Here is a 24,407-nt window from a genome sequence, read left to right as displayed (position 1 = left end):
TGGTATGTGAGTAGCATTATCCCTGGGAAAATAAATCATTAACTCCCTACGAGGGCTGTTGCAAAGAAGAAGTATCCACATGAAGATGGAGGAAGGAAAACAAGAGTGATTATCCCAATCAGTAAGTTGTTGCTTATTGGTAAAAATCAACTAAATTTAAAAATAAAAAACATCATAGAATGTGGATTTCATCAAATAATTAAGAAGGTGTTAATGGGAGATAATTTTTAAGTCTTATAATGTTTTAAAGGTTAGGAAGCCTTGGTGTGTAAGATGCACTGCTTTGGTCTCAATTTTTAAAATCTCTAAAAAGTGTTTAGAAAATGGCTACCATTTTGTGGAAAATATAAAAAATGAGAAACTCATAAACATTAATGAAACACTTTTTAAGGAATATTTTCTACAGATCATGGAGGAGGTAATTAAACATAAAATAATTGCTTCCATCTCTTCCCCTTATGTTTGAACTTTCTCTGATTTTGAGACATATGAACAATTCTTATAATTTTTGCTCTACATCTTGTTTTCTCGTATTCTTCACCCTTTATCCCACCACAGAAATCTTAGGCCCCCCCATGCTGACATTGCATCAGATATAGTGTTTCTCATTGCACTGTAATATTAATTTATTTAGATAATGCTACTGCTTTATTTATATTTCAAATAGCTCAAAATTTGACTGCCATATCTTGTTCTTTGCAATTATCTTTTTATTGTCATAAAATTTGTCTCTACTCAATCTTTTTTGCCCTTATACCTACTGTTGAGATCAGATCTAATATAATACTACCTATTTATTGGGTTAGGCTAATAAATCTCCTTTCTCTTATCTTTTTAACAATGCCCCTAGAATTACTGCCATTGGATTACAGAAATTAAGTGAATACACTTCTTACAATTTTGGCTAAGTATTGCATACTTACCCTTAAAATTTAACCTTTGGGGAAAAAAGGTTTTGCAGAATATTGTGTCATCAGATACATAAGCCAATCACTAAAGAGTTGAGGCTAAAAGTGCAGCTATTGGACTTTTAATTTATCTCTACATTTTACTTTTATTATCCTTTATGTCTCACATTTTTTAAAATGTTCATCACCTGCCATTTATTTGCCAAAGATTCAGTAAGACTTATTCTTTTTCAGGCATGTTGTTTGATATTGGGAATGGAGTACGGTGAGGCCAAATTTTGGGAGAAGAGTGGCAGCAATAAGGAATACACATCCCTTCCTAGAATATCCCAATCTATTGAGGGAAGATAGTCACATTTTTTAAAAATTGAGATACAGTGAAAGTCGTGTTGATAGAGAATGGCAGTGCAGTTCATAAGTATAGTAATAGAACAAAAACTGTGCTTTAGGAGGATAGCCTCATGTTCACAAGGAAGGTGACTTTGAATAGGGCCCTGAATGATGAGCAGACCCCATAAGGCAAATAAATAGTAACACATTTTATAATCAACAATAAAAATCTTGACTACTCTTCATGTTCTGAGCTTTCTCCTTTTTCCTCTGTCTTCATTTTTACCTTTCTTCATCTATCTCCCTTCTTCATAAAGTCAAGAAGAAAAAAATCTTGCTACCAGGATATTCCTGCAACAAGGAAACTCGTAGATAACTTCTAGACAAATGAAGTTCCCTACTGATCTGCTCCCTATAAGGCTGTCTTTCTTGATTCATTCTATCTAAAAATAGATATATTCACTGTCAGGGATGGCTGATTTAACAAAATAAGCTTAGTAGGCACCATTACTTGAATCTCTTTATGGATTTTTTTTAGGTTCATACATGTTATAGGAAAAGTCTCTTGGAAGATGAACTTCTCACAACAGTGCTAACTTCAAGTATTTTAGTCCTTAGAACCAAAAATCAGAACGAAAATCTAACTTGACCTTTTACTACCTACATGCCATGGTGTATATATATATATATAAAATATATATTTAAAATATATATATATAAAATATATATATTATATATATAATATATATATAATATATATATAAAATATATATATAATATATATATTATATATAAAATATATATAATATATATATTATATATATAAAATATATATAATATATATAAAATATATATAATATATAGTATATATAAAAATATATAAAATATATAATATATATATAATATATATATAAAATATATATTATATATAATATGTATATAAAATATATATAATATATATATAATATATATAATATATATTATATATATAATACATATATAATATATATAATATATATATAAAATATATATATAATCTCCAGAGCACATGTTAAGTATAACTAGAAAAGAATTTGGATATCTAAAATGTACCATTATATTCCAAAGTACCTTACTGAAAACTAAATGAGAGAGTATCTGTATAGCTGAACTACTCATTGTACTGAATATGCCTCTTGTACATATAGGAATACATGATAAAGGGACGTGTCAACTTTTCAGTTCTTCCAAGTTATTTTTTATAAAAAGATCATTTCTTTTGTGGTATTTTGGGGCTCTTGGGATAAAAACTTCATTTTTCTAAGGCATTTTCTGATCTTCACAAGCAAATAGAACTCTATGCATGGCTTCCAAAATCAGGATTTTAATATATATAATCGTTATTCATTCTGTCATTTGCATTGTAAAAATGATAATGTGTCAGCAAATATTCATAGTTCTGCTTCACATAATATTGCACTTCAATTAAAGCATATTTTAAGTTTCAGTGGAACTACTTGAGTTTTGCTTTAATTCTATCGTTAAAATCCCTTGATATTTTAGGCATGAGTTGAAGTAAAACAACATTTGTGCTTTTAGAGCTTAGATGTCTGTTACTACATTAGAGGGTCTCTGTATTGTGCGAGATAGTTCCCAGTTTTTCCTCTGATCAAGCTGTTCTCCCAGAAGCCAGTGTCGATGCAGGAGGGTTGGGGGAGCAGTGGTCTGGAGACCTGCAGTAAGGAAAGAATATGTTTCCCTTTGCAAAAAGAGTGTGCCTCGGTAAGATCCAGGCAAAAAGTCACAGCCAGAATCAGAAGTGGATCCCTACTGGGGACTAATAATCAGCTATTGAACCCTGCACTCTTTCTGTAAGTTTATTTTGCAGCTACTTTGAAGAGGGAGTTTATTTTTTAATTAATTTGACACAATTTAACGTATAACCTCTTACATGCCACTCACTAAGCTAGATGTTTTCAGCCATATGTAGTGCTTTGTGCATCTCTCAGTTATACTTATTGTAACATGATTAATTGTCCACACATTTTTACCCATTCATTAAATAAGCAAGTATTGAGTACCACCTATTTTCTAGGTATTTTGCCAAGTGCTGAGAATGAGCAAGATGTATAATTGCTTGTGTTTAAGCTGCTTGCAATCTAGTGAAGAAGAAAACCACAAAGCCTTATTATCTTAGAAGGTACAAGGTAATGATTTAGTATGCATGGCAGATTTAAGTACTCCTCTGTAAACAGTGTCCAGCTTGGGAAAGTGAAGGATGACTTTCCCAACTGGGAAAGGATCCAAAAGGCTTCCTCAAGTTCTAACATATAGTAGTTTTTATATCATTTAATTTGTATCATTTTAAATTTTATATCATTTAATTTGTATCATTTTAAATTTTACAATAATAGTTCTTTGGTTATTTACAAATGTCAGTAACCATCTTTTAAAAAATATTTCAGGTACGTATAGATTTGTGTGTGTGCTCTTTGTTTCTGATTTTTAACTTATTTTGATTATGGTCAGAGAACATGGTCTATTGGATTTCAATTTTTGGAACTGTATTAAGGTTTGCTTTTCAGCATAAATCTGGTTGACTTTCAGAAGTGTTCTATTTATGTGTGAAAATAATATATGTAGGTACTCTAATTTCTCCCCTCTTAAATTATCTTGATTACAATCCAGCATCCTCCTCCAATTTTACTAGAGCACATCTTGTCATGGTCACCCATGAGCTCTGTGTTGCATGTGCAATGTGCAATTCTTCAACTTGCATTACTTAACTGCCACCTTGGACACAGGAGAACACTTCTTTTTGAATCACTGTTTTTGGTTGGCTTCTGGGACCCCACTCTCTGACTTCCTGCATATTTCATTAACAGCTCCATTTTACTTCTTCTTGATTTTTATCTTCATATCACCAGTATCTAAAAGTTGGACTACCCAAGGCTTTAGTCTTCTTTTCTTTTAAATCTCTTTTCCTTTCATCACCCTTTGGTGACCTCATGTGATCTCTATGTTTATAATACCACCTATATCCTAATAACTTCCAAATTTATGCTTCCAGGCATATTTTCTCCGTAATCTCAGGTTTATTTACCTCCCTATTAGTTTTATTCAAATGCCTAACGGGCATCTTACAACTGACACTTCCACGTGGATCTCCTAATAATCCCATCCAAGCCACTATCTTGGTAATCAACTTTAACTGAAAAATGGTAACCTCTTACATAGATCTAAAACTATACAGTTATACTTTATCAATTTCTTTTAACATACCACATCAAATCTGCTCACAAATTCTTTTTACCTTCAGACAAATCCATATTCTAGCTACCTCTCAACACCTCTCCACTACTTGTCTGGTCATATTCATCTCTTTTCTAGACTTTTACAGTAGGCCTTTTTGTTGTTTTTCTGCTTCTCATTTTAACTTCCTTCAGTCTCATCTCTACATCTGGCCAAACTGGACCTTCTCTGCTTTCTACTCAAAAAATACCCCACTGGCTTTCCATTTCATTTGAAGTAAAAGCTAATGTCTCCAGTTTTTAAAATAACTTACTCAAATTTAGATTATGTGTCTCCTCATTACCCTGACCTACTCTCCTCATGTCTTTCCCTCATTCAATCCACTGGAAAAAAAAAAGCTGGATTTCTTGCTGTTTTTAAGCAATCTATGTATGCTCTCTTCTTAGACTTTGCTCTTCATGTGGCCTATTCTTGGAATACTCTTCACCCAGTTATACACATGCCTGACTCCCTTTTTTCCTTCAGGTCTTCACTCAAATGTTGCCTTAGTAAGAATTTACCTCATTCCCATATTAAAAAAATCTTTTTATTAATCTTTTTATTAATCTTATTTAATTTTTGTACTCTCTACTATAATTAAAGCTTCATATGGAGAAAGAAATGTGTGTGCATTTTATTTGTACTCCTGTATTTTAAGTGCCAGCCTTAGTGCTAGCACATAGTAGATACTCAAAAAATGTTTATGGAAATAATGAATAAATGTTGTATCGAGTTGTCAGCTGCACACTGGATACCTTACTACTCCTCAAATAGGTGGACTGAGACAGATTGTTATAAGTAGATATCTACTATAGGTTGTTAAGGAGTTTTGTAGTGATTGACATCTGTGAAAGAGAAGGGAACAAAGCAAGAATGGGCAAACAGGAAAGATGAGCTGCAATGCAATCTCAACAAAGGCTTCAGCCAACGTCACTGGAAGGTTTTCTGTCTTGTGACTAACAGGCTAAGCCTTTCTCCTCTGTATTTACCAGTCGTTGGGCTCATTTAAAAGAAAAGAAGACTAAAGCCTTGAGTTTTCCAACTTTTAGATACTCTGACATGAAGATAAAAATCAAGAAAAAGTAAAATGGAGCTGTTAATGAAATATGTAGGAAGATATATTTAGTGAGACATTGGTGAAGGAGCATGGACAGCTTAGGGCAATTTGCAGATTGGGATGAGAGCTGGGGCTAGCAGTCCAGCAGCACTCCCAGCAGCTTGGAAAAAAAGAATCCTTTAATCCTGAAAAAGGATTTTTCAGTTGTCTACTGTACTTACCAAGCATGCTATGGGTTTAAGGCTGTTTCTACTTCCTAGAAGGCTCTTCCTCTAGAGAACTGCACAATTAGCTTCTGTACCTCCTTCAAATTCTTATTCAGATGTTGCTTTCTTGAAATGACTACACTTTTATTTTAAACTAAAATATCGCCATCTAACAGCCACAAACCCACAGCTTCTAATATCTTCTAATATAGCATATTATTTGCTTAATTACATGTTCGCTATTCATTGTCTCCTCCAACTAGAAGATATGTTCCATGAAGACAGTAATTTTTGTTGATTTGTTCAATAACATAATTGACAAATACTTAGAACACTACACATAGTATTTCAAATATTTTGGGAATGAATGAATGAATGAATTTCAAACTTCTTACTGACCTGACGTTGTGATACATTGAATACTAAAAATTCCAGAGAGTGATGATAGCCCTTTTAATCTGACTACTGTACAGGGGAAAATGAAGCAGAGCCTGACTGCCTAGAATAAACCTCCACTGCAGCCCTCTGACAAAATATTCCAAGGCCATCTTTTGTAACAACTAGGAAGGAGATGAATCCTGCCTATTAGGATATCTAACAAGTTCCAGGTACTAATCTGGTTCTTTAAGGGTTAAAACAGATCTAATATGTCTTCATTTTGAGTTTGATTGTACTACGATATTGTCTCAGGACCAAGGAGACTTGGGTAGGCTAACAGCCTATGTAAGACTGACATCCAGCTATATCCACTATCAGCTTTTGCCCCGAGTTAGTGCAGGGAAGATGCAATGGAGCAGAATGCCACCAGAGGGCACTGTGGCACCGCTTTGTGATTTTCAGTTTTCATATATGGGATTGCAAGAAAAGCTTGGGACAAAAGCTTTAAAAAAAAAAAAAAACAACTCAGAGCAATGTTTTGCTGACGTAGTTAATGGCTTTCATTCATTTTGAAAATGTATAGGATGATAAAGAATGTTATAAATTGCAACTTGGATAAAAAATGGCAAAGCTATTAACAAATTTCACAGAAAAATACACACAAATGTCTTTAAATATTATGAAAACATGCTCAAACTACCTTATAATTTTTTAAATGCTAATTAAAATAGCATTGATATAAAACTTTTCACCTGTAAGATTTGCAAAATTGTAGAAGTCGGCCCACCCAAGCAATCTTGTAGATTGTCGGTAGAAGCACAAATTAGTTTGATTCTCAAGGAAGGAAATTGGGCACTATATCTGATAGTTACAGATTCATTTGCCCCTTGACCTTCCTACACATACTTATAGAAATCTATTCTACAGATGTACATCTTATATACAAATTGATGCATAAATAGTAATTTATTATAAACTCTTTAATAGGTAAAGGGGTTTTTTAAATCGTTTTGGGGAGAGTGCTGGTTAAATTATGGTATATCAGTAAAATAGAAAAACATAAAGCTGAAAATAATGAAGATGATGAAGATGCTTTTTATTTACTGATATAATGCCCACCTAACTTTAAGTGAAAAATGTAAGACCCATAATATTGGTAAATCATTGAATTTTTTTAAAGGAGGTGGAGAATAAGAATATATGTATGGTTGTATTCGTTTGTATTTCCAGAAGGAAATTTTGCAAAGACACACAGATGCCAATCAATGTGGTTTTGGTGAGGGTGGGAAATGGGAAGCATGGAGGCAAGTGTGAGAGTAATATTTTGTCCTGTGTACTATTTCCTGTGGCTTAGATTCATGATTCACAGGAATTCATTACCTAGTCACAAAATGGAATAAATGTTTTAACAATTGTGGGGTAGAACTTTTGGCTGGGCTTTCAGAAAATGTTGGAGATTCAACTCTTTATTTTAAATCATTCAAATACATTAGATATACACAGAAGTATTTGTTGTCATAGTTAGCTAATAACTACTGATTTTTCTTCTGGAAATCAATCAATTGTAGTGCTTTTGGCAACCTTGGAATGAATGACATGAATTTTCCAGCAAGGCTTCCCAGAGAAAAGTTACAAAAGTGACTGGAGTTTCCTTTGGGACCTCTTCTTCAGAGTTGTTCTACTCTCCACCATGCACCAGTTGTCACAGGCCGATCTGTCCTTTGGGAAAAGAGGATTGAAGTTACTGAACCCTTTCCTTACATTGTGACAAATTTATTATAGATATACACATTTGGCTGGGCTCAGTGGCTCACGCCAGTAATCCTAGCACTTTGGGAGGCTGAGGCCGGTGGATCACTTGATGTCAGGAGTTCAAGAACAGCCTGGCCAATACGGCGAAACTCCATCTCTACTAAAAATACAAAAATTACCCAGGCGTGGTGCTGGGTTCCTGTAATCCCAGCTACTTGGGAGGCTTAGGCAGGAGAATCACTTGAACCCAAGAGGCAGAAATTGCAGCGAGCTGAGATCATGCCACTGCCCTTCAGCCTGGGCATCAGAGTGAGACTGTCTAAAATAAGATACACATATTTCTTCATTCACTTAATGTTTATTGAATATTAAGAACCTGGCTGTGAACCACCTTTTGAGCATACAAATCTGTCAGACATAGCTTTTCCCTTCCCTCATAGTCATATAGGAAGCCAGGCATGATCTAAATCAAGCTTGTCCATCCTGTAGCCCACAGGCAGCATGCGGCCCAGGACGGCTTTGAATGTAGCCCAACACAAATTCACAAATTTTCTTAAAACATGAGAAAACATGAGATTTTTTTGGAATTTTCTTTTTCTCATCAGCTGTCATTAGTGTTAGTGTATCTTATGTGTAGCCCAAGACAACTCTTTTTTTTTCTGGTGTGGCCCAGGGAAGCCAAAAGCTTGCCCACCCCCAGGTCTAAGTGATTTGTGGAGAGCTGTGTGCCATGGAAGAACAAGAAGGGAATGGTCACCTTTTCTTGATTAAAAAGCTGGAGAAAGCCTTCAGATCATATCTCATAGATTGTAAAATATGAGCAAGAGTTTTCTAGGCAAATCAGGGTTGAAATGTAGGAAGAGAAATCATTCTTAAGCGGAGGGAACAACCCTTACGAAAGTGCAGAAGTTTGAAAATACATGATCAATTAGAACAAGTGGTGAAGAGCTCAGCATGACTGGAGCATATATGTGTTTGTTGATTTATTTTTGTATTTCAACAGGAGAGCTGTTGACACTTTTGTTAATATTATAGCCTCCAGGTATGCTATGCGATTTAATTTAACAAAACTCAGAAGAATGTATTATCTCTGTTGTACAGATAATGATATCAAGATTTATAAAAGTTATCGGTCTAGAATTATACATCTAGGTAGAGATAGGACTCAAATCTAATTTCAAACCCCATTAAGTATGCATAAGAGTGTTAGCTGGATCTCTTCCGTTTTTCCTTTAGACTCACTCTTTCTTTCCTATCCTATTCCCCTGGCAACTAGCCTGATGGAGTTCATTGACAGGCTCCAAAGCACTCAGGCTTCCAGTGAGGTTTGTCCCATAGGTAGTCTAGTCAAGAAACCAGAGGTAAGGGAGAAGATGAGCGGGGTTTATCCTTTATCCTCAGACTTCCATCTGTGCTGCCATCTTACGCTACCTGTGACTCCCAAACCAAGATCATTGCTCCTCTCCAAGAGGCCCACTATATATCTGACTCTTAGATGTCAGTAACTGCTCACTCCCCTCATCCCTGCAAGTCTAGAGATGGTATCAACTCCATCATACCTTCCTTGTGGTTTCCCCACATACAGCCCACACTTTTATAAATGAGTTCTTTATTAAGCTCTACTCAAGTTACCCTAATTTGAAAGTGCCATCTGTTTTCACCTGGCACAAGATCCATATTCAGGAAGTTATTATCTAAGTGAGAACTGATGAAAGTTTATTGTGGCAGTAGCAGAAGAAATGAAGGTGATAAAGTGGATTCCAGAATGATCTGAGATTAAAAAGGGCTACAAGGAGAGAATGATATTTGCTCTTAAGGTTTGATTTACATTAAGCAATTCTGGTGGGACTTTCTTGAGCCCTTCACATCGTACTGCATAGAAAAAACTCTTAAGCTAAATGAGTATTAGCAAGATGAGACAAAATAAGTGGTTCCAAGCTTGACACCAGAAGACAGATTTCACTGCATTTACCAAAATACAGGGAGCCACATGATTCATTCACAGAGGGTGTTACCAGGCATCAGGTGATGATCCAAGCAAGCAATTAATACCAAGTAGGTACAACAAGAGGTAAATGGGTACTCTGGCAGTTAGATCAAGAAATAGGTTTTATTGACCTGGTCAATCCTGGTTTTGAAGATTCAGATAAGCAGTGAGCATCAAAAAGGAGGTCACCAAATTGCAGGATCTTCATCATGAATTCAGTTCAGCAACAAACTCCAAATCTTGGGGAGGCAGACATAGACAAATCAAAGACTGCACAAGCCACAAGAAGACTGCTACAGTGCTGCATCTCTTGCATTTTTAGAGTTCCTTACAACCACCCAGTTGTCTACCAAACTGGAGCAAGGCTAAAATACTAAAGGTCAGTAGCTCTATTTGTGTGCAGTACAAGACCCTACCTGGCACATTCCATTCATACAGGAGCCCTGCTCTATGGTTTTCGTCAAGCCTATAATTTTTATCATGAGGTCAAGCGGTCTATTTCCATAGTAGCAACACTCTGGTGCGTTTGAGAAAACATCAGTGTTCTTTATCAGTGTCTCTCAAGTTGAGAAATACAAAAGAGCATAGGCATAAAACTAATGCAATTGCATTATCACATTCTGTTTCCTACTGAGATTCCTTTTCATGGTTAAAAAAAAAAAAAGGAATTCAGAAAATGAATTATTTTCAACATCAGCTTCTCTCTGGAGTTTAAAAATGTATTTTGATTTACTGTTTCCAAGGACACTATATGGAAAATGGCTTCTTAAATTAACGCATCAATTACTTATACCAAATGGATAGGAATGATTGTGCTCAAGTAATAAATAACCTTTTATAAGGAAGATTTTATAGGAGATAAAATATAGATGGTCCCTTTGACTTATACAGGTGCTATATTAATCCCTCAGATGTAAATTATAGAGGTGAAGAGTTTATACTTCTTTCCTTTGTGTTGAGCATTCTGATAAATGAGTGTCTAATGTGACAGGAAAAGATAACATAATGAATATCTTATTGTGCTTCAAGGAACATGAAGAAATGACTGACACTATGTTTTGTTCCAGGTGGAAAATAAAAGGCAAGCAGTTCCTGGCCCGTGATATTCCAGTTAGAGGTGTCTGACTGACAGCATGTTGGCACCGAGGGAAGCGATGGGCTTCGGCTCCAGGTGAGTTCAGTATGACTGGGTATGCTAGTTTCCCATGACACAAGATGTGTATTTTTTGGACTTCTATCTACAGAATTAATGATGTAACTCCATCAACCCTTTTACGCTTTCAAAATACGAAAACACTGCATTTCTTTAAAATAGTATAATTTTAAAATTCGATAGTGTCTTTAGGTCAATGCATATACTTTTTAATCCACCTAATTTCAAGTTGTAGAACAGGTAACTATGAATGGATTTCTTTCTGAACTGAGGATCAAAATATCTGAGCTAGAAGTAGAGTAAATGCTAGAACCTCATAAGACTGAAAGCTGTTTGTAGTAGTGATCCAGAGTGGGAAACCAGAGTTATCATTAAGCATTTCAACTGACACATTGTTCAGTGCCACCTTACTGGTAATCACCTGAGGGCCGAGTAACCCTTCAGGACCTCAGGTTTTGTCATTTCCAGAGTTAGGCAATAAGGGCAAGCAGATAATCCAATAACTCAAAAGACTCCTCGATTACCAGTCTTAAAATTACAAGAGGTAAGATCTCTGCCTCCAATTCCAGTTATGATCCACTCTGAGTCTGTACCTTCAGAAATCCATAGCCAGAATATATTAATCACATCATGTAGAAACATTAATATGAAACTTTGGTAAACTGAATAGAATAACAGTTTAGGGAATGAAATATATGTATTATACAGCTTATTTTTTTAAATGATTTTCATACACTGTAAGAACTACATGGTGGGCCTACACATAACTTATGGGTAATTCACATGCAATCTGTCTTCCACAGTTTCAAAGAATAGTAAAGAAGATAAACTCATCAACAGTACTAGGACAAATGCTATAAAATAGATACAAGAAACATGTAATAAGTATTTGGTCTATTTATGAAATACCTCAACAATCCCTCCTCCATAGCAATTCTGTATCTTGTGATTTAATGTGAGTAAATAATTAGGAATATCTGAAAATATTTAAACAGAATTATGTTTTTATAGTCATAAATAGCCCAAATATATACTTGTATAAAATTTATAAAATATTTTTTCTAATAGTAAAATTCTATGGAACTATTTTTTTTTTTTATTTATCTATGGAACTATTAAAACACATGCTTGAGAAAAAATACTTCTGACATGAAAGAAGGAGCAGGCATATATTTAAATTTTAGAAATTGGATTAAAATGTCTTTATAAGATAACTTTTATGTGTATATAGAGAAAAAAGATAAAAGAGACCAATATAGTAATTTATTTTTTATTTTTTATTTTTTATTTTTTTTTATTATTTTACTTTAAGTTTTAGGGTACATGTGCACATTGTGCAGGTTAGTTACATATGTATACATGTGCCATGCTGGTGCGCTGCACCCATTAACTCATCATCTAGCATTAGGTATATCTCCCAGTGCTATCCCTCCCCCTTCCCCCAACCCAACAACAGTCCCCAGAGTGTGATGTTCCCCTTCCTGTGTCCATGTGATCTCATTGTTCAATTCCCACCTATGAGTGAGAATATGTGGGGTTTGGTTTTTTGTTCTTGTGATAGTTTACTGAGAATGATGATTTCCAATTACATCCATGTCCCTACAAAGGACATGAACTCATCATTTTTTATGGCTGCATAGTATTCCATGGTGTATATGTGCCACATTTTCTTAATCCAGTCTATCATTGTTGGACATTTGGGTTGGTTCCAAGTCTTTGCTATTGTGAATAATGCCGCAATAAACATACGGGTGCATGTGTCTTTATAGCAGCATGATTTATAGTCCTTTGGGTATATACCCAGTAATGGGATGGCTGGGTCAAATGGTATTTCTAGTTCTAGATCCCTGAGGAATCGCCACACTGACTTCCACAATGGTTGAACTAGTTTACAGTCCCACCAACAGTGTAAAAGTGTTCCTATTTCTCCACATCCTCTCCAGCACCTGTTGTTTACTGACTTTTTAATGATCGCCATTCTAACTGGTGTGAGATTGTATCTCATTGTGGTTTTGATTTGCATTTCTCTGATGGCCAGTGATGGTGAGCATTTTTTCATGTGTTTTTTGGCTGCATAAATGTCTTCTTTTGAGAAGTGTCTGTTCATGTCCTTCGCCCACTTTTTAATTGGGTTGTTTTTTTCTTGTAAATTTGTTTGAGTTCATTGTAGATTCTGGATATTAGCCCTTTGTCAGATGAGTAGGTTGTGAAAATTTTCTCCCATTTTTTAGGTTGCCTGTTCACTCTGATGGTAGTTTCTTTTGCTGTGCAGAAGCTCTTTAGTTTAATTAGATCCCATTTGTCAATTTTGGCTTTTGTTGCCATTGCTTTTGGTGTTTTAGACATGAAGTCCTTGCCCATGCCTATGTCCTGAATGGTAATGCCTAGGTTTTCTTCTAGGGCTTTTATGGTTTTAGGTCGAACGTTTAAGTCTTTAATCCATCTTGAATTGATTTTTGTATAAGGTGTAAGGAAGGGATCCAGTTTCAGCTTTCTACATATGGCTAGCCAGTTTTCCCAGCACCATTTATTAAATAGGGAATCCTTTCCCCATTGCTTGTTTTGGTCAGGTTTGTCAAAGATCAGATAGTTGTAGATATGCAGCATTATTTCTGAGGGCTCTGTTCTGTTCCATTGATCTATATCTCTGTTTTGGTACCAGTACCATGCTGTTTTGGTTACTGTAGCCTTGTAGTATAGTTTGAAGTCAGGTAGTGTGATGCCTCCAGCTTTGTTCTTTTGGCTTAGGATTGACTTGGCAATGCGGGCTTTTTTTTTGGTTCCATATGAACTTTAAAGTAGTTTTTTCCAATTCTGTGAAGAAAGTCATTGGTAGCTTGATGGGGATGGCATTGAATCTGTAAATTACCTTGGGCAGTATGGCCATTTTCACGATATTGATTGTTCCTACCCATGAGCATGGAATGTTCTTCCATTTGTTTGTATCCTCTTTTATTTCCTTGAGCATTGGTTTGTAGTTCTCCTTGGAGAGGTCCTTCACATCCCTTGTAAGTTGAATTCCTAGGTATTTTATTCTCTTTGAAGCAATTGTGAATGGGAGTTCACTCATGATTTGGCTCTCTGTTTGTCTGTTGTTGGTGTATAAGAATGCTTGTGATTTTTGTACATTGATTTTGTATCCTGAGACTGCTGAAGTCGCTTATCAGCTTAAGGAGATTTTGGGCTGAGACGATGATGGGGTTTTCTAGATATACAATCATGTCTTCTGCAAACAGGGACAATTTGACTTCCTCTTTTCCTAATTGAATACCCTTTATTTCCTTCTCCTGCCTGATTGCCCTGGCCAGAACTTCCAACACTATGTTGAATAGGAGTGGTGAGAGAGGGCATCCCTGTCTTGTGCCAGTTTTCAAAGGGAATGCTTCCAGTTTTTGCCCATTCAGTATGATATTGGCTGTGGGTTTGTCATAGAGAGCTCTTATTATTTTGAAATACATCCCATCAATACCTAATTTATTGAGTTTTTAGCATGAATGGTTGTTGAATTTTGTCAAAGGCCTTTTCTGTATCTATTGAGATAATCATGTGGTTTTTGTCTTTGGCTCTGTTTATATGCTGGATTATATTTATTGATTTGCATATATTGAACCAGCCTTGCATCCCAGGGATGAAGCCCTCTTGATCATGGTTGATAAGCTTTTTGATGTGCTGCTGGATTCGTTTTGCCAGTATTTTATTGAGGATTTTTGCATCAATATTCATCAAGGATATTGGTCTAAAATTCTCTTTTTTGGTTGTGTCTCTGCCCGGCTTTGGTATTAAAATGATGCTGGCCTCATAAAATGAGTTAGGGAGGATTCCCTCTTTTTCTGTTGATTGGAATAGTTTCAGAAGGAATGGTACCAGTTCCTCCTTGTACCTCTGCGAGAATTCAGCTGTGAATCCATCTGGTCCTGGACTCTTTTTGGTTGGTAAGCTATTGATTATTGCCATAATTTCAGATCCTGTTATTGGTCTATTCAGAGATTCAACTTCTTCCTGGTTTAGTCTTGGGAGAGTGTATGTGTCGAGGAATTTATCCATTTCTTCTAGATTTTCTAGTTTATTTGCATAGAGGCGTTTGTAGTATTCTCTGATGGTAGTTTGTCTTTCTGTGGGATCGGTGGCGATATCCCCTTTATCATTTTTTATTGCATCTATTTGATTCTTCTCTCTTTTCTTCTTTATTAGTCTTGCTAGCAGTCTATTTTGTTGATCTTTTCAAAAAACCAGCTCCTGGATTCATTGATTTTTTTGAAGGGTTTTTTGTGTCTCTATTTCCTTCAGTTCTGCTCTGATCTTACTTATTTCTTGCCTTCTGCTAGCTTTTGAATGTGTTTGCTCTTGCTTTTCTAGTTCTTTTAATTGTGATGTTAGGGTGTCAATTTTGGATCTTACCTGCTTTCTCTTGTGGGCGTTTAGTGCTATAAATTTCCCTCTACACACTGCTTTGAATGTGTCCCAGAGATTCTGGTATGTTGTGTCTTTGTTCTCGTTGGTTTCAAAGAACATCTTTATTTCTGCCTTCATTTCATTATGTACCCAGTAGTCATTCAGGAGCAGGTTGTTCAGTTTCCATGTAGTTGAGCAGCTTTGAGTGAGATTCTTAATCCTGAGTTCTAGTTTGATTGCACTGTGGTCTGAGAGATAGTTTGTTATAATTTCTGTTCTTTTACATTTTCTGAGGAGACCTTTACTTCCAAGTATGTGGTCAATTTTGGAATAGGTGTGGTGTGGTGCTGAAAAAAATGTATATTCTGTTGATTTGGGGTGGAGAGTTCTGTAGATGTCTATTAGGTCCGCTTGGTGCAGAGCTGAGTTCAATTCCTGGGTATCCTTGTTGACTTTCTGTCTGGTTGATCTGTCTAATGTTGACAGTGGGGTGTTAAAGTCTCCCATTATTAATGTGTGGGAGTCTAAGTCTCCTTGTAGGTCACTCAGGACTTGCTTTATGAATCTGGGTGCTCCTGTGTTGGGTGTATATATATTTAGGATAGTTAGCTCTTCTTGTTGAATTGATCCCTTTACCACTATGTAATGGCCTTCTTTGTCTCTTTTGATCTTTGTTGGTTTAAAGTCTGTTTTATCAGAAACTAGGATTGCAACCCCTGCCTTTTTTTGTTTTCCATTTGCTTGGTAGATCTTCCTCCATCCTTTTATTTTGAGCCTGTGTGTGTCTCTGCATGTGAGATGGGTTTCCTGAATACAGCACACTGATGGGTCTTGACTCTTTATCCAATTTGCCAGTCTGTGTCTTTTAATTGGAGCATGTACTCCATTTACATTTAAAGTTAATATTGTTATGTGTGAATTTGATCCTGTCATTATGATGTTAGCTGGTTATTTTGCACGTTAGTTGATGCAGTTACTTCCTAGTCTCGATGGTCTTTACATTTTGGCATGATTTTGCAGCGGCTGGTACCAGTTGTTCCTTTCCATGTTTAGCGCTTCCTTCAGGAGCTGTTTTAGGGCAGGCCTGGTGGTGACAAAATCTCTCAACATTTGCTTGTCTGTAAAGGATTTTATTTCTCCTTCACTTATGAAGCTTAGTTTGGCTGGATATGAAATTCTGGGTTGAAAATTCTTTTCTTTAAGAATGTTGAATATTGGCCCCCACTCTTTTCTGGCTGGTAGGGTTTCTGCCGAGAGATCTGCTGTTAGTCTGATGGGCTTCCCTTTGAGGGTAACCCGACCTTTCTCTCTGGCTGCCCTTAACATTTTTTCCTTCATTTCAACTTTGGTGAATCTGACAATTATGTGTCTTGGAGTTGCTCTTCTCGAGGAGTATCTTTGTGGCGTTCTCTGTATTTCCTGAATCTGAACGTTGGCCTGCCTTGCTAGATTGGGGAAGTTCTCCTGGATAATATCCTGCAGAGTGTTTTCCAACTTGGTTCCATTCTCCCCATCACTTTCAGGTACACCAATCAGATGTAGATTTGGTCTTTTCACATAGTCCCATATTTCTTGGAGGCTTTGCTCATTTCTTTTTATTCTTTTTTCTCTAAACTTCCCTTCTCGCTTCATTTCATTCATTTCATCTTCCATTGCTGATACCCTTTCTTCCAGTTGATTGCATCGGCTCCTGAGGCTTCTGCATTCTTCACGTAGTTCTGGAGCCTTGGTTTTCAGCTCCATCAGCTCCTTTAAGCACTTCTCTGTATTGGTTATTCTAGTTATACATTCTTCTAAATTTTTTTCAAAGTTTTCAACTTCTTTGCCTTTGGTTTGAATGTCCTCCCGTAGCTCAGAGTAATTTGATCGTCTGAAGCCTTCTTCTCTCAGCTCGTCAAAGTTATTCTCCATCCAGCTTTGTTCTTTTGCTGGTGAGGAACTGCGTTCCTTTGGAGGAGGAGAGGCACTCTGCATTTTAGAGTTTCCAGTTTTTCTGTTCTGTTTTTTCCCCATCTTTGTGGTTTTATCTACTTTTGGTCTTTGATGATGGTGATGTACAGATGGGTTTTTGGTGTGGATGTCCTTTCTGTTTGTTAGTTTTCCTTCTAACAGACAGGACCCTCAGCTGCAGGTCTGTTGGAGTACTCTGCTGTGTGAGGTGTCAGTGTGCCCCTGCTGGGGGGTGCCTCCCAGTTAGGCTGCTCGGGGGTCAGGGGTCAGGGACCCACTTGAGGAGGCAGTCTGCCCGTTCTCAGATCTCCAGCTGCGTGCTGGGAGAACCACTGCTCTCTTCAAAGCTGTCAGACAGGGACATTTAAGTCTGCAGAGGTTACTGCTGTCTTTTTGTTTGTCTGTGCCCTGCCCCCAGAGGTGGAGCCTACAGAGGTAGGCAGGCCTCCTTGAGCTGTGGTGGACTCCACCCAGTTCGAGCTTCCCAGCTGCTTTGTTTACCTAAGCACGCCTGGGCAATGGTGGGCGCCCCTCCCCCAGCCTCGTTGCCGTCTTGCAGTTTGATCTCAGACTGCTGTGCTAGCAATCAGCGAGACTCCGTGGGCATAGGACCCTCCGAGCCACGTGCGGGATATAATCTCCTGGTGCACTGTTTTTTAAGCCCGTCGGAAAAGCGCAGTATTCGGGTGGGAGCGACCCGATTTTCCAGGTGCCATCTGTCACCCCTTTCTTTGACTAGGAAAGGGAACTCCCTGACACCTTGCACTTCTGGAGTGAGGCAATGCCTCGCCCTGCTTCGGCTCACGCACGGTGCACGCACCCACTGACCTGCGCCCACTGTCTGGCACTCCCTAGTGAGATGAACCCTGTACCTCAGATGGAAATGCAGAAATCACCTGTCTTCTGCGTCGCTCACGCTGGGAGCTGTAGACCGGAGCTGTTCCTATTCGGCCATCTTGGCTCCTCCCCAGTAATTTTTAATTCTTTTTTTTATTTTTAACTTGTTGTTACAATCAATTTTTTTCTATAGGAAAAAAGTAACTTCTAATTTTGAAAATTGTCAATTAAATTGTTTCATAAAAATAGGATAGAAGAATAATGAGGTTGTGAAAAAATAGTCACCATATTTTCTAGAGGGATTAAAATCAAGTTATAATACAGAATTGGAGTAAAATTCTATTTGTGTTAAAAGCATATTTAAATATATTTTTATTTTATACTAAGGAAAATTATGAATTCGGGAGAGTCATGGTAGTAATTCCTATCTAGTAAATGCGTAAAGTCCTTTAAAAGGAAAGAAATTTGAGTAGGGACTTCAAGGGTAACCATACAGAAATGTGCTTTTAATAGTGTTTATAATAATCAAAATTGACCTATTTACATGGATAAACATACATATTATGCTCACTTATATTGTTCTGCTTCATTTTGTGGAAAAGTATAAATAATACATATTTCATAAATTTAAATATTATATTTGTGTCAAGTGTAAGCAGAATAGCCATACTGATATACTCAATGCTATCTTTCATCATATACTTAAACTTTAAAATACTGCATTTTTAATAAAAATTACATTATATAATCACAATAAGATTTTTCTTTATCAAATATTCAAAGTTACTTCTGTTTCAATGCTTTTTCTGCAGTTCTTTATCCAGTTTGAGTGACACATGAATGAGTTGTACATTTGTTTACATTTGAAAACTCAAACATACAAGAAATTGTTTTTATGTGAAAATGTCATTTTAAAAATAAACTCTGTAGAAATATTGTTAACAGTCTCTTTCTCAGACTTCTCTGTTCTTGTCTTCCCCATAGACTGTGGTTTCCAGGTCCATTCTTGCCCTTTTTATTCTCTGTGTGTGTTCTATTTGAATGATCTCACTTATGTCCATGGCTTCGATATTCCCAATTCTGTGACTCTAACCAAAGGCACACTCTAATTGTGTACTAGATCAACATACCAAATGAACTGCAGGTCTCCTAAACTGTTTCCAGTGCTGATGTCTGGTTTTTCCTTCCTCCCTTGAGCGCTCATTTGTGTAACTTCTTCAGGTAGATACTCCTGGAGCTCCCAGCCCTAAGTAGTGTATTCCTATAGCTCTGCTTTATCTCATAGTACTTCTTATGCTCTGGTGTTTTGTTTTGTTTTGTTTCCTACAGACTGAGTATCTGACTCCTGAACTAGGTGGTAAATGAGTATAACCTTGAGTATGAGTACTGTCCATTATCTCTGGTGTCCTCATTATATTGTGACCCATGTCATCCAAAATCAGAGCAGTACTATGGCAAAAGAAAACAGACCAGCTGTAATTTCAAAATAACTCATATTCTCTTTGTAGAACATGATGTAGTACAAGTAGACCACATTCATCACATAGCTCTATGTAACTTTTTAAATTTAAACTTCCTAGGGACATCCTCCATTATTAAATCAACCTTATCCAGGCCCTGTCTCTTTCAGAAACCTCTTTAAAAGTGTTTTCTTGGCCAGGCGCTGTGGCTTGAGCCTGTAATCTCAGCACTTTGTGAGGCTGAGGTGGGCAGATCACGAGGTCAAGAGATTGAGACTATCCTGGCCAACATGGTGAAACCCTGTCTCTACTAAAAATATAAAAGTTAGCTGGGCATGGTGGCACATGCCTGTAGTCCCAGCTGCATGGGAGGCTGAGGCAGAAGAATCGTTTGAACCCAGGAGGCAGAGGTTGCAGTGAGACAAGATCACGCCACTGCACTTCAGCCTGGTGACAGAGTAGTGAGACTCTGTCTCAAAAAACAAGTGTTTTCTCTTCTGGCCCTCCCCATTATCAAGTTTCAAAAAGCAAAATACTCCTTGATAGCAAGGGGTATAGAGGAAGGGCTGCCCAGGTTGACTGAGTAGACTCAAGTTAACTTTACTGGTCCAAAGGGGCAAGTTTGTGAATATAAGCATTTTAATTGTTAATTTACTCTTGATAATCCTTCATCATTCTTTCTTGTGTTCTTCTCCCCCAGTATGCACATCCTAAATGTGGGAGCTAACAAACACTAAGTGGAGACTAGAAGGATCACAGAGTTAGTGACATAGTAAAATAGGTATAGCGGACAGATATGGTATCTATTGCTTAGGCTCAATTATCTACTCTGCCATGTATGAGTTATACAGACCAGAGCATATAAGTCTCTTCGAACCTCTGAGACTTAAATCATTTATTTGTTCTAAATAGTCTCTATTTTATAAATCAACTACTGTATTTGTGAAAGCCTTTTACAAATATTTTATAAATGTTTAAGTACTTTATAAGTGTGAAAACTAATTGATATTACCAAGTGAAATAATAGCTTACCAAAGCATCAAGTTTAAAGAAAATAACTGGCTTCAAAAAATTAAGTTTTCTTCCAAAATGCAAATTGTGTGTGTGTGTGTGTGTGTGTGTGTGTGTATAGAGAGAGAGATGACTGCTACTGTATTAGGTGTGAAATTAAGTTTGTTCTTTATTTTCTTTCACCAAATACAAGGTCAGGTATCACTAGTCGAGTTTACAAATAAAATATTCAGATTAGTTAATATTCTAATAACAGTAGTAATGGATTTTTCCATGTTAATCATTTTTTCCACTTTATGGCATTGTGAGTCTGTCTTTGTTGTTGTTCCCATAGTGAAATATCTCTTTACTTTGTGTAAGTGATCTTTACATATTTGCAAAGAAAATTCCCTCCTTTTAAGTTTAATGTAAATTGCCTGCCCATCAAATCAGCATTGTTCAATAGTTTTTAAGGTGCTCTCTCTGTCCTTTGATAACAAAGGGAATTCAGTTCTGGACAAAAACTCAAGATAATGAGCTTGGCAACATAAAGCATCTTCCTTTTATGAAATCCACTCACAAAATAATGTGGTATGAAATTTAAAGGCAAAGAATATTAAGATAGCATTGATTCATTGATCTGGAAATTAATTCTAACCATGTAATATTAATAACACTTCATGATCTGAAATTTAAGCTGCAGCTAACATCATGCAGCAACAAAAGTTATTTAATATTGCCAACAACTGTAGTAAAGTTGAATTTTAACGGTTGACATTATATTTTCTGGAGCACTACAATACTTTTCAAAGTGTAATAAAATATTGAAAATGATCAGAAGATGAAACGTTGTTCACATGAAGCAGAGTTCATTAGTCATTTAAGAATATATGCCTATAATACATAAAAACAAGTTTTATGTTAGTTGTACCCAAACAACTTAGGCTTCCAAACAATATGTAGTAAAATCTGAGTGAATTAGCTTTCTACTCGCCAACCTCTCAACTGCATTTTCTTCCCGTGTCCTTTATTCACATATCTCAAGAAAATGCAAATGACATGAAAATAAGCTAGGGCTAGAAGAATGAAATTGACTCTGAAAAAGATGGCTCTCAATGACTAAAGAAAGAGGCAATATTTCAAACAATATTAAGAATCTATGAACATTGCACTGCATTAGATGTATGGGAAAAATAGATAGATATTAATAATATACTTGTAATTTATCCATCATAGGAGATGCACGGTGTATTTAGATACTAAATAGTATGTTATTATGTACACACACGCATTCCTTTACATAACTATACTATTAGTGTTAGGTGCTAAAAGATAAGGAGAGATCAGACACCAATTGTTTTCCAGAAGACAGACCAGTAATTTTTGTTAAAGCAACTGAGAAGGCTTCTTGAGGAAAGCTGAATTTGATATAAATCCAATAGGGCAGATGTGTGGGCTGGGAATGGCATTGCAGATGTAGGGAATAGTACATACAGAAATGGTGAATTTGAATGTAGAGGGCACTTAGGAAAGGACAGCTAGCAATGCTTTCATAATAAAGGGTAGTAATAATGGAAGGTAATACTGAAAAGAAAACACAGAGATTGATTTAGGTGGGTTTTAAGTGTTCGCCCGAAGAGTTCTTTATTTCATGCTCCTCCTCCAGCAGTGGGTATAGTTTACATTGTGTTGTACCCCCAGTGAAATCACAAGTAGAAATGCTTTTAAATATTCTAATATAGAAATACTCAATATTTTATACTGGTTAAGTATATAATGGTTATTACAAAATCTGTGATGTTTATAGCGGTGCTTAAATATCACAAAACTAATAAGCAAAATTAATCTCCTAAGGCATATAAAATATAAACTTCAATGAACACTTTTTCCTGCAATACCTAATTATATTTAATTTTCCACAACACTAATAGTCTTAAGGTTACAAATCAACAATTCTTGAACCTATTAAAACTAATCTTGGTGTGCTACAGGAAAGCTTTTTCCATTTGTAATAAATACAATTCCAATTTATGATATAACACTGAAAATGTACAGCTTAAAATACAAATTTTATTTCAGTGACTTTTATCTCTCTAAACAAATGCTCATGGGTAAACTATACCTTTGATTTCTCAAAACACTTGCATAAGTAGTTCTTTATTAAATTTTCTCTTGAAATCTTCACATTAACCCTAGTTAGAAATTTTGGCTTTAGCTTTCAACTATCATTTTTGTCAACAATAAGTCATATATATTTGAAGCTTATGATTTTTATTTCTACCCTTTCTCAGTTATTTTAATGATACAATTATCTTCACATTCAGTGAAATTTTAAATCATAGAGTTTGGTTTTTTCTTTCTCTTTTCTGCTCTTTTTCTCTGTTGTATGCATTCATCATGTATTTACTGAAAAAAATACATCGTTCCAAGATCTGAGTCCTCTTTCATAGCCTCCTTGATATCTTCCTTTTTTCTTTCCATATTCCCTGGCTTTATCCCCTTCAACACAATTTGGGCAAATACAACTAAAAATTTGTATGATGATGATCCCTTTCTGTCTTAATATCCACTATTTTTCCTGTTTTATTGTACTGTTTCCCAGCAATTCTTCTGAGATGATTAACACTACCATACAGTTATTCTCAAAAAATATTAATGTTTCTTTTGCTCATACTGAGTTTTCAAGGGCTTGACTTAGGAAAATATTAGGTAAGTATAAGATAGGTAGAATTTAGAAGTACAAGCCTGGAACGTATAAGAGAAGTTGGCCAGGTGCAGTGGCTGATGCCTGTAATCCCAGCACTTTAGGAGGATGAAGCAGGAGGATCGCTTGAGCCTGGGAGTCTAGACCAGCCTGGGCAACATAGAAAGACCCCATTTCTACAAAAACTTAAAAAAAATTTTCTAGGCATGGTGCTGTACATCTGTACTCCCAGCTACTTAGGAGGCTGAGGTGGGAGGATCTCTTTAGCCCAGGAGTTCAAAGCTACAGTAAGCCATGACCATGACACTGTACTCTAGCCTGGGTGATAAAGCCAGACCCTAACTCAAAACAAACAAACAAACAAAGGGAGATTAGTATATAGATTTGAGATTCTTTCTCACAAGTCATCATCTATCTAGCATTACAATGAAACAAAGATAAAAGGAAAAAAGGTGCATAGAAGAAAATTTTTTGAGACACGACATTAGAAGTTAGCATAATGAGTGAGAGAAGGAATAATCTCAGTTTAGTTATGCAGGTAGGTAAGGTAGAAGAGTTTTTTTTAAAAAATTTTGTCATCTGAATGCTGAAAAAAATGAGAAGTACTGAAAAAAGACCACTATATTTAATATTACTGTTATAATAATAAAAACATGCTTTAAAAAAACTAATGTGAAGTGAAGCACATATTCTTTTAGTTATCCAAAACCATAAATCACTCTTCAAAGATTATTTATATAATATAGAACCTCCTTCAAGGTCCTGTATGTAAGACCTTAAATACCAAACATTCAGCAGTCACCCTCCTGTTAGAGATGACATATTACCTTAAAAACTCAACTTTGACTATATTAAATATACACATTTTTGTTTTTCTGGAGAGGGAAATATGTGAATTTCTGTTTAGTAAGGCAACAATTTTATCCTACCCTGTAATAAGAACTTTCTCACATTTTAGGCAGCACATGGGCAACTACTGCCTCTCTACAGTAGTATAAGTGATCATTGCCACTAAAAATTTGTGAGCAAATTG

The 24,407-nt window shown here is 36.0% G+C and overlaps 1 protein-coding gene across 38 annotated transcripts in view; it reads left to right on the top strand.

Moving 5' to 3' along the window:
- PTPRD (protein tyrosine phosphatase receptor type D) overlaps positions 1-24,407 on the top strand; it is a 2,298,757-nt gene that overhangs the window by 663,437 nt on the left and 1,610,913 nt on the right. For 37 of the 38 annotated variants that reach the window (NM_002839.4, XM_017014961.3, XM_006716827.5 and 34 more), the window contains one exon: positions 10,956-11,059. The gene's annotated coding sequence lies outside the window, so the exon portion shown is untranslated. Of the gene's footprint in view, positions 1-6,244; positions 6,380-10,955; positions 11,060-24,407 lie in introns of all 38 variants that reach the window. The other variant, XM_047423641.1, reaches the window with a different exon arrangement.

Source organism: Homo sapiens, chromosome 9 (assembly GCF_000001405.40).
Source record: "Homo sapiens chromosome 9, GRCh38.p14 Primary Assembly".
Lineage (NCBI taxonomy): Eukaryota > Metazoa > Chordata > Mammalia > Primates > Hominidae > Homo > Homo sapiens.
The sequence above is the reverse complement of the archived record's forward strand: the minus strand, read 5'-3'. Positions and strand labels throughout refer to the sequence as shown.